Source organism: Homo sapiens, chromosome 9 (genome assembly GCF_000001405.40).
Source record: "Homo sapiens chromosome 9, GRCh38.p14 Primary Assembly".
In the NCBI taxonomy this organism is placed as follows: Eukaryota; Metazoa; Chordata; class Mammalia; order Primates; family Hominidae; genus Homo; species Homo sapiens.
In genome coordinates this window covers 100900759-100912506 of record NC_000009.12, presented here as the reverse complement: position 1 = coordinate 100912506, position 11748 = coordinate 100900759, and the positions used below count along the sequence as shown (strand labels likewise).

The 11748-nt window shown below is 38.6% G+C and overlaps 1 long non-coding RNA gene across 1 annotated transcript; it reads right to left on the bottom strand.

Annotated features, from left to right (window-relative positions):
- Positions 1–5683: 5683 nt before the first annotated feature.
- LOC105376181 (uncharacterized) lies at positions 5684–11007 on the bottom strand. The gene is made up of 4 exons (XR_001746576.2): positions 10937–11007; positions 10587–10850; positions 9465–9729; positions 5684–5768 (listed from the first exon to the last, which is right to left on the bottom strand). It is a non-coding gene; the product is annotated as an uncharacterized LOC105376181 (long non-coding RNA).
- Positions 11008–11748: the final 741 nt, after the last annotated feature.

Below are 11748 nucleotides of genomic sequence, written 5' to 3'. Positions count from 1 at the left end.
ATTTTTATTGGAATTCTTCTGACTAATCGTTCTGCTGCCGCATATTGTAATTATCTGCCCAAGTTATCTTCTGGAAGGAGATGCTGCCTCTTTTTCCTTTTAAGGACTGGACACTTTCCTGTCTGTGATGGTGAAGGGCTCCCCAGTGCATCTTGTCCCTATTGAAGCTTCCTAGCTCCATCGTCATGGTAACACCATGGCATGGCAAGGAGATGCAGAGGACCTATGATGACATTCAGGCTCAGCTTCATGGGTGTATGACCTGTGCATTCACTCAAGGCCCTGCATTTAGAAAGGCAAAGACCAGCAGGGTGCAGTAGCTCACACCTGTAACCCCAGCACTTTGGGAGGCCAAGGTGGGTGGATCATGAGGTCAAGAGATCGAGACCATCCTGGCCAACATGGTGAAACCCCGTTTCTACTAAAAATACAAAAATTAGCTGGGCATGGTGGCACGTGCTTGTAGTCCCAGCTACTCGGGAGGCTGAGGCAGGAGAATCACTTGAGCCAGGGAGGTGGAGGTTGCAGTGAGCCAAGATTGCAGCACTGCACTGCATCCAGCCTGGCAACAGAGCGAGACTCCATCTCAAAAAAAAAAAAAAAAAAAAGAAGAAGAAGAAGAAGAAAGAAACAAAAAAGAAAAAAGAAAAAGAAGGAAATGCAAAGACCCTGTGCTTGGCTTAATGCTCTGTCATCACTGCCTTGAAAACATTGATAATGTTTTCACAAGAGGCCCCAAATTTTCATTTTACTTTAGGCCCCATAATCTCTGTAGCCAGTCCTGTTGACATTATAATCCCTTTTAACGACAAGAATCAGCCTCAATTGTTCCATAAACACTAGGTTTTCAGCCGCAGCAAAGCCAGTTTATTTCTTCCTGCCATTGGTGTATGGCTGCACGCACCTGGTAAACCACAAGATCTCAGAAGTCCAGAGGGCACTGGTACACCGGGAGAACATGGACAGACACATACCCACACTCAGCTGAACATCACCAGGCACCATACGCAGCTTCTTTGCCAAACATCAGCACTGTTCAGAATAATAAAGACAGAATTGTCAAGGTACTGCTAGTTTCCCCACAGCTGTCGCTAGCTGTGGCTAACCTCAATCAACCTAAGGGCTGTTCCCTAGAGAGTGGTACTTGAATGATCCAAAAAAAAAAAAAAAAAACTTACAAAATCACAATTCACAGTAATCTGAATCTGCTTTCAGGAAGTGTGAAAAGTGATGCCTGTTCAATTAGACCTTTTATTCATTTAAATGCAGTACTAAAAACCAGGTTAACAGAACAATGCTCTGTTTTTTTTCTTTTTAGTCCAAGAACACCTGGCTTGTTAGAAAAGCAACCTGAGAAGAGAAGAAGGCATCTCTCCAATTGTGGAGAGGTTTTATGCCTAATCTCTTTATTCATTTAGATTTTATCCAAAGGAGTAAAGCTGTTATACTGGATTTCACTTGCAATCACATGATACTCAGTTGTCAAGGTTATGAATATGCCTAAAATTCTAGCTACAAAAGAAAAGGAGGTCTGTGCATGTGTGTAGGTATATGTGTGTATGTACATAAATATATACATACATAATATACATATAAAATATTTTTCAAATAGTGTAGAATAATTTTGAAATACTGACTAAAGTTTTCTTAGTCAAAATATTTAAGGTGATAGATATCCCAGGTACACTGATTTGATCTTTATATGAGTGTATTAAATTATCCCATGTACCCTGAAACTATGTACATCTATTATACATCAATAAAAAATTATTTAAGAAATATATACACACATAGACAATATGAAAAAAGGATGTATTATTTCATTATTAACTTTAAGATTTTGATGACACATTGAAATGATATTTTATATTTATATATTATATATCTTGTTAACAACAGAGGCAGTGGCATACTAGAGCAGCTTCATTGGCTCTCGAGTGCTGAATGTACATTTTCAACTCCACATTCAGTGATGTTATATTGGTATTTTGAAATCAGCCATGATTTCAATACCATTAACATCATGGTATCATGGTGACATGTGCTACAACCCAAGGCATTTTCCCCCTGGAAATCCATGTACCAACACACCATTCTATTGAGCTTATTGTAAAAGTTCTAAATAAAACTTGGAAACTGTGAAAATTAAAACATTGTAGATCCAAGTGATTAAAACAAAACAAAACTGATGAAGAATGATTATAGTAGGAGTTTCAATTCCACATAAAGGAAGAGAGGAAGCTGGAAGAATAGCACTTACCTCCATCAGTTTCAACCTGTTGCTTCAGACTGTCTTCCAGGACAGCACATGATAGCCTAAGACACAGCAGTTAAAATACCACATGTTCTAACTTATAAGTGGGATCTAAATGATGAGAACACATGGACACACAGAGGGAAACAACACACATTGGGGCCTTTCAGAGGGATAAGGGTGAGAGGAGGGAGAGGATGAGGAAAAATAAATAATGTGTAGTAGGCTTAATACCTGGGTGATGAAATAATCTGTATAACAAACCCTCATGACACAAGTTTACCTATGTAATAAAACTGCACTTGTACCCCTGAACTTAAAATAAAAGTAAAAAAAATCCTTCCCCTGAGCAACACTGCACCTGAAAATGCAATGAGTGAGTATGTATAGTCTATCTTGGAGCTAGGCTACCTAATGTCATGAGTATGAATCACAAAATTAAATAATTACATAAAATATATGCCTTCATTTTCTCAAAGTCAATACTACTAAAATAAACACATTTTATAAAGATGGGGACAATTAAATCAATTAGAACTCTGTTTAATTATCCCATTTTGCTGAAGTATATTAAAATAACCCAAACATTATATATAACACAGAGGGAAATAATGATTAAAACTGAATAAGAATGTTGTCATTTTCTTTCACATCAAGTCTAATCATATGAAAAGACCCCTTCTCAACAGGGAACTATGAGAAATTAAACAAAGAATTTATTGGTCAGCTGTCTGTGGCTGCATAAATTTATGGCCAAAGGGAAAATTGCACCAGATGTATTCTGCAGGGGGAAAGGGACCACTGCATTTCATTAGTGCTAGCAAAGGTCTTACAGGAATAATTCAGCCTTTTTTATTTAATAATTTCAGCTTTTAGATCATCACTAACTTTTAGATATATCACTAACCACCCTCCACAGCCCATTAAATACTCAACATTTTATTTTCTATTGACTTCTTTCTTTCTGCAATTCCTTAAAGGAGGAGAACTAGAGAGAGGGAAGGAGAAAGTTTTTAGGAATCTTCAGGTCATATGTGTTGTTTAGAAGGAAGGATTGTTTATACTCTTGTTTTATAATACAAATTAAAGAAAGCAAATCTGGGCAAAATATTTTGGACTAGTGAGAATCCAGAGAAGATGCAATGCCAGCATAGATTAAAGACACTAATTTACAGTACTAACTACTAACACTCTAGGACTAACTACTAATACTCTGGAGCTAACTATTAATGCTTTAGTGTTTTGTGCCCAGCACTGTTCTGAGGTGTCACAACAATCCTATCAAGTGATTATCTTTGATAGGCCTCATTTTACAAATGAGGAAACTGAGCACAGAGAGGGTAACTAAAACATCAAACTAAATTATAAAACCAGAAAGTGTAGTTGTAAACTAGACTCTAATATCTGTGTACATACCTCTATACTCTGCCGCTTAAAGCGTGAAATACCTGCCTTGAGAAAGCCAAAGAGATGAAAATATAAAGCCACCAAACAAATGATTTGGGGCAGGATTTAATGACTGGTCTTGTACAGAAAGTTAATCTTGTATAAAGTACCATACATGTATAACACATTTCTGTTTTTCTTTGAGGAAGTTTTCTACCATCCCAGACTCAACTCTTGTTTATCTCCTTAAAAAGATGTCCTCTTCCCCAGCTCCTGATACAGCTAGCATCCAGAATACAGTGTTGCTTATGAAACAATTTTTCAATGAATGAATCCATCAACCAATTAATCAGTTAGCCAATGAATGAGATAATAGCTATGGCATTAAATTTATCTGTAGCTGAACAGTGCTTGATGTGGTTTATTGTTTGAATAATCCTTTATGGTCTCAGAGTATCGGGATAAGCTTTGAAAGTTTGTAGACTGGAGCTGTGAAGACCTAGTATGGATAAAATGGAGAAATAATATTGAGAAAGATAAAGGTATTAGTCTTTAATGATGTACTGAGGATGTACCAAACTCAAGACTGTTCACATAATTTAACTCATTAATTCTCACAACAATACATTTGATAGATGAAAAAATGGAGGCTCAACAAACAAAGTTATTTGCCAAAAGTGATGCTGGCAAATAAGTGGAAAATTGAGGTTGTGAGGCCAATCTTTTTAACTCCAAAGCTCTTTTCACTACCATCCAGTATTTCAGGGGGAAGTGCAGGAGTGGAACAGGAGACGGGGAGGAGGAGAGAGAAAGCATAAAGTGAGTGTAAGATGAAATTTAGCCAGGAGAGAAGCTTTATCTGTGAACTTCGGTTTCTGCTCCAGTTTGACTTAGAAATATCCAGGCAATTATTTTAATTCCCCAATTTCCTCAGCTGGGATTAAAATAAGCATGACCCAGTTGTCACAGTCCTCCTGACAGGAAAGTCAGTGCTGACATGCAATTAACTCGGGGCTTCACTGTGTGCTGGCAGGAGTTCCCATAGGGAGGTAGCCTCCATGAAGTTCTTTTTCACCTTCTGAGTTGGAGGTAATTTTCCCTGTACGGGAAATTCTAAACCTTGGTGCCTTCAGGCAGAAATCTGGCCATTGATTTGCAGAACCTTGGTACTATCCTGGCAGCTGCAGATGCCCCCTCAGCAGTTACAGCTGTCTGGTGGGACACCTGTTCTCCCTAATAGAAGGTGATGGGCAAGGGGCTGGTGAAGAAATATTGGCAGCAGCTCCTCTAATCTCTTGTGATTGGACAAAAACTCACAAGGAGCCATAATGTAAAGGAAATTCTGCCCACAGTAGCATTTTTCCAGAGAAGTACCAGTTTGAGATGCGGTAAGTTAGAGACACCCAGTAGAATCTGATGAAGGGCAGTAAAGAAACTCCTTTAGAAAAGAATTCCTGGCAGTGGCTCATGCCTATAATTCCAGCACTTTGGGAGGCCGAGGTGGGCAGATCATGAGGTCAGGAGTTTGAGACCAGCCTGACCAACATAGTGAAACCCCGTCTCTACTAAAAATACAAAAAAAAATTAGCCGGGCATGGTGGTGGGCACCTGTAATCCCAGCTACTTGGGAGGCTAAGGCAGGAGAATACCTTGAAGCCTGGAGGCAGAGGTTGCAGTGAGCTGAGATCATGCCACTGCACTCCTGCCCAGGCGACAGTGCAAGACTCCGTCTCAAAAAAAAAAAAAAAAGAGAATTCCTAAGGAGAAACTATAAAGAAGTGAAGAGTGCAGTGCCCTCTCCACATTGGTAACACTATACATTTAAAAATCTCCAGCATTCACAATGGCTTTCTTCATCCACCCTCCTCCTACTTTTTAGTAATTGGTTTAATGGACACTAAAAGCATGATGAAGAATGTAGTGTACCCAATTTATTCCTACAGCTAATTTCATAGATAGCAAGCCCACACCTTACATGCTGCATTGAATATATAGGTTACATTTAAAGATCAATATCACTTGACGGCAATTTGATAAGTGCTTATAATTTAATTTCCAGTTACGACATTTACTTAATCAAAACTTTGGCAATGAGAGTCCATTCAAGTACAATATGCAATAAGAGGATCTGGAAAAGAGTCAGAGGAAATCACAGGGTGAATATTCAGAAACTTAAGTGCATGATTTACATCCACTATAACTTAAATAAAAACTCTTACGTCTTTTAAGAAACATTCACAAGCATTAACTATCCCAACACTTGTGGAAAACATAATAATTACAAAACATTTTATATGTAGGGAGTCTGGTAGAAGATATGAACAATCCAGAAATGGCACGATCAATGTAAATAATGAGATTCAATCGGAAATACCTTATTAACTAATTATATATAAATGATGTCGTCATATTGCATTATGATCTGATACTTTTAATCACTTTAAATATATTTTGAGTGTTATTTTTAATTAAAAAGTAAATCATACTCAGGAAAATTTAAAGGCAGCTTGGAAACTGTTTTTAATGTATCTAAAAGTTATTCTAGGTATCTAACTTAAAGCCCTCAAGTAGGACTATTTTGTTATAAATAATCAAAAATTGTTTTTGTACCACTAGAGCTCCTGAATACAGCATTGTTTTCCTCATTTCATATTTTAAAGACATTGTGTCCTCCTAGTAAAGAGTTCCACAACCACACATGAAATCGTTTATATTGGTCCTTTCACTTGAAACTTTGGGCCTTTAGAAGAACATGGTTAGAGTAAGAAGAAAGAAAACAACTTTTAAGTAAATGATGAAAGATGAAAGACCAACACAGAATGTACAATATTTCAACTCAAACCTTTAAATGAGAGTGCCAAAGAAATGTACTCTTCACCTAAAAGACAGAAAAAGAGCATGGCCTTGCCATGCCAAGTAGAGAAGATTCTGGGAGCTTTCCAGGTGCTCCTTCCCTTAGATCTATCCTCTATTCTCTTCCTTTTTCTCCAACATCTCAGACATCAGCAACTTGCAGAAGAGAATTTCCCTGACTCAAAATGTAGTATAGGGGAGTTAATCTTGGCACCCCAGCACTTCATAAATGATTTTTTGTGGACTCTTTTCCTAGGATTCAGGAAGGGGATATGTGCTATCCTCTCCCCTCACCCCCGCCCCCGCCCCCCCCCCCCCACACACACAGAGAGAGAGAAAGAGCGCAAGGTAAGTAAGGAGAAAACTTCCTTGTGTGAATACAGTACTCCCCGAGAGGATACCTCCTTCTCTCTTCCAGGCCCCTTATTATACCCGGTTGGGAGAGGGCAAGCCTGAAGAGAGGCAGATGGTACCTGTGGATGATGGTCCCATGAAGAGAACGTGAGGCATGTTTGCCCTTAGCTTTAGACCTTAACCGATTTCTGCATTTCTGAGCCAACTGAAAACATTCTACTCCACACTTAACACCAAAGTCTTACATTGAAAACAGCCTAAATGCTCATCTATGGTGAAATAGAAAAAAAAATTGACATATTCAAATTATATAATATTGTGTTAAAAGGAATTAGCTAGATCTATGTATACCAACATGGAAAGATCTCAAAAACATAATGATAAATATAAAATGAGGCAGAATGAGATGTATAGTGCTCTCTAGCCTCAGTTTCCTCATCATTAAATTAATTCATTCACTCAGGAAATCTTGGTTGATCTGGGGCCTACCATGCCCCATAACCTGTTTTAGGCAATGAAAATATAGCAACAAAAAATGAAAGGAAAAAAGTTCTTCCTTCATAGAGTTACATTCTAGTGGTATGAAACAGGGAAACTAACAATAAATGAATAATAAATTTATGGCAAATCAGATCTATTGTTTTAAAAAAGCTATAAAGAAAAATAAAACAGAGAATTTAAAAATGTGGCATTAGAGGAAGAAGACCAGAAAGTTTTGCAGATAAGATTTTGCTAGAATGTTGATATCCTAACAAAGACATAAAAGAGTAGAGGAGAGAGGAATAAACCCTCGTTGTGACAAATGCACAGATTAAGATTTGAGGTTGTTAGTGAAGCCTTCTCAAGCCTATTCTAATTAACATACATCCTTTCCTATTTTCTTTTCTTCTTCCTTTTTTTTTTTTTTTTTTTTTTGAGATGGAGTCTTGCTCTGTCGTCCAGGCTGGAATGCAGTGGCAGAATCTCAGCTCACTGCAACCTCCGCCTCCTGGGTTCAAGCGATTCTCCTGCCTTAGCCTCCCAAGTAGCTAGGATTATAGGCACATGCCACCAGGCCCGGCTCATTTTTGTATTTTTAGTAGAGACGGGGTTTTACCATGTTGGCCAGGCTGGTCTCGAACTCTTGACCTCAGGTGATCCACCCGCCTCAGCCTTCCAAAATGCTGGGATTACAGGTGTGAGCTACCACACCCAGCCTGAAAAAGGGTGGCTTTTTTTTTTTTTTTTTTTTTTGATGGAGACTTGCTCTGTTGCCCAGGCTGGAGTGCAGAGGCACAATCTCGGCTCAATGCAACCTCTGCCTCCTGGTTCAAGCGATTCTCGTGCCTCAGCCTCCTAGCAGCTGGGACTATGGGTGTGTGCCACCATGCCCAGCTAATTTTTGTATGTTTAGTTGAGATGGGGTTTTGCCATGTTGGCCAGGCTGGTCTTGAACTCCTGACCTCAGGTGATCAGCCCGCCTCAGCCTCCCAAAGTGCTGGGATTACAGGTGTGAATGACCAAGCCTGGCCTCTATTTTCTAGTGTAGATAAAAAGCATTCTTTATTTTTATATCTTTTCAGGCATTTCGGTGGGAATCTACTTCCTGGGGGTGAGAGGCAGACAATTAAACTTGGAACTAATTTTATTTTGAATCAATGTGTACCTTTTAAGGGATTTGGTAGAAAAAAATTATTGTTATTGAGCTACTCAGAAATAATTGTGCCTAATATACCTGATGCTTAAGCAGGAGTCACTATTAAGAACTCTGATATTGAAAATTTTTAGGAAGCTGAATAAAAGCATCTGGCTAGTTTCCTGAAGAACAATCCAATATATGTCAAAATCTCACTAGCTTGCCTCTCAAATTTATTGTTTAATCTAATGTTAGCTACAAAGCTAACCGTAAAGTTAACGGCAGAAGAGATTCTGTGACAAATGGAAGAATATCAAAATTAATGTCTAGAAATAACTGGATATAAAACCTAGCTTCTTAATGGACCTGTGATATTAAGCAAGATAGCTCACTTCTCTGGGACTCAGTTTCCACATTCGTAAATGGAAATACATTCCTTCCTCTCAGAAGTTGAAAAAAAGGATATATAAATGTTTGCTCTACATCTTTCCCTGTGCAAGAATCTAAGCTCTATAAATGGAAAGAGCATGCCTGCTGTATTAGTCCCAGTGCCTTAGGACCTATCAGAGGCTATCCTGGAACATAAAAAATGCTCATTAAATTTTTATGGACCAAATTAATGAATATATGATAATATCTGAAATAGTGCCTGGCACAGAAAAGATCTTCACATAATAAACATTAGTTTTATCCTTTCTTTTCTTTCTTCTAGCATTCTAGACATTTTTCTCTTCCTAAACTATTTAACCTAGTCCTGTGCTAGTAATCATGAATCTCAACAGTTTTTTTCTTGTTTGGAAGTTGACTTGTTTGGAAGTTGTCAGGAGTATAACAGGAATCTTCAAGCCATGAACATGATCCCTGCACTGAAAATTGACTTTCACCAGAGTGTGATCCCTAAGTAGACCCTGGGTCTCTCTGTCAGCTCTGGCATCCTAATATACATGTTGTGCCTCTTTAGAAATCTTTTGTGACGTAAAAAGAATGCATTGATCAGCTCACCTCATTGAGGTCCTCAATCCAGGTATCCTGCTCCTGCCTAAATCAGGTGTTTCACTCAAGGTGTTCAGAGCCCAGGAGGAGTCAGCAGCAGGCTATCACAGCCTCCTGGCTTGTGGCTAGAGGCACAAACTGGGGCCACCTGCTACCTCTCTATGGTTTGCATGGCATCTCAGAGGTAGGAGGTGGAGAGTGCAGTACTAATAGTTCAGAGATCTAAGCTGTTACTTGAAGTAAAGAAATTGAGAAGAGACTGCAGGTATAAATGCTGTGAAGAGAAGCCACATAGCATTATATTTAAGTGGATACTGAAGTCAGACATGATTCAAACTGCAACTTCACTAACTTTACAGCATCTTGGCAATTGCCTAATCTGTCTGTGCTTGGGTCTCCTTCTATATGATTTGATACCAACAGCCAACATCTACCGAACACACCCTATGGGCTAGAAACTGTTAATACATGCCTGTATTAAATCCTCACAATAACCCAATGAGGTAGATGCCAGAATTATCCTCATTTTACAAATAAGGAGACAAACACATGGAGTGGTTACATTACCTGCCAAATTCCCACAATAAAGCCCATTACCTGCCTGGGTTCAATGCTCAACCAGCCAGCACTCATGGTGAGGACTGAATTCAATGATACGCAGAATAGTTTCTGGAATGTCATCATGCCTTAGAAGGACCATGACCAGAACTGCCTGGCCAGAAATAAGGGATCATGAAGTTCCATAGGCAGTGGGATTGGTTAATAAAAATTGGAGTTTTGAATCTCGTACTGCAAGGCTTGGGAAGGAATGAAGTTTGGAGCAGACGAGAGGAAGTCAATTAAGAGAAGGGTGACTATTTGGAGAGGCAACCAACAGAAAGGGGACTTTAAAATGGTTCCATGAATTGCAGTAGGTAAGGATAGTACCATGCCTTTAAAAATTGGTGGGATCACAGGGCCAAGAGTGAAAGTGGGCTTTCAGAAGAGGTGAATGCATTCAATTTCAGTCATCTTAGATTTAAAAAGAAAGCAAGACATGGCAGCCATACAGAAGATGACAAGGCTTCTTGTGAATACATGAGAGTAGACATAACAAATAAAATGGTGTAATTAAAAAGAAATGGAACTCACCTTGAGTAAGCCTGTTTTTATGTTTTTCTCTCAACAATCACAATTTATTAGGCTCCAACTTACTATTATTACATTTTCATACTTCCTTTACATATGAAAGTAGGAGAGCTTTGTGAACAATTAAGAAATTTTCACATGTGCTTCTTTTCTGAATAAATTGTTATGTGAAATAGTTTATTTTGGCAGATTCTTAGGGCTTGAGCCTTTATCTTGAAAAGAGGAAAGAAATGTCTTTCACTTAAAGTGGCTTCTCAACCATTATAACTGAAAGAGACAACAGGAAGGAAAAAGCTTTCACAACCTTTTATCTGAACATTCTGTTGAACTGTTCAAATTATAAGAACTTATACCTGAGTTCTTAAATTTTCAAAGTGCACAAAATAAACTTTCTGTTCTCCTCAGAAATCATGTGATATTATCCCTGCAGGAGAAGAGATTGGGAAGGTTTAGAACATTCTTTAAGCTTTTCAATTGATGTCAAATGGAATGGGATACCTGCCTATGTCAGGAAGCTCATTTGCTTCACCCTGTGTCTGCCAAAGTCCAATATGCTGAAATTCTCACTCAGTGGTTCCACTCTGTGGGATGCTTTATGCCACCAGGCATTAACTATTGAACTGCCAGTCTCAACTACCACTATAAACAGCCTTAGTCACACAGAAGAGTTACTTGAGAAATGGCTGCCTTTGCAGGAAGTGGTGCCTGGAATAGTGTGATGCATAATATTTCACCAAGCACGAAAACAGATGGTAACAAAGGTGAGAAGTCACCCAAAGTGTCTTCTTCCTGGAAAATCCTCACCATGCCACATCAGAAAGGTATAATATCCACGGTATTGTTGACAACCATATTGTTCAGCCTCTACCTGGCTGTGTAGTCCTGGACAAGTTACTTAAACCAGCTGGGTTATCAATTTCCTCATATGTAATATGAAGATAAAATGCCTAGTTCACAGTATTGTTATTGAAAAATTATATGAATAAAACACCTTAGAATAGTGCTTAGGCATTCAATGCATGTTAGTATCTGTCTCTCAGTTCTCAGTCATGAGCTTGTTCTCTAACTATGGCCCAAGTACTACCAGAACCCACTTTTCTCTGCATTTATGCATTTATGCCCCCTTTGGAGGGGGTCATAGGATCAGTATAAATGGTCAACAATA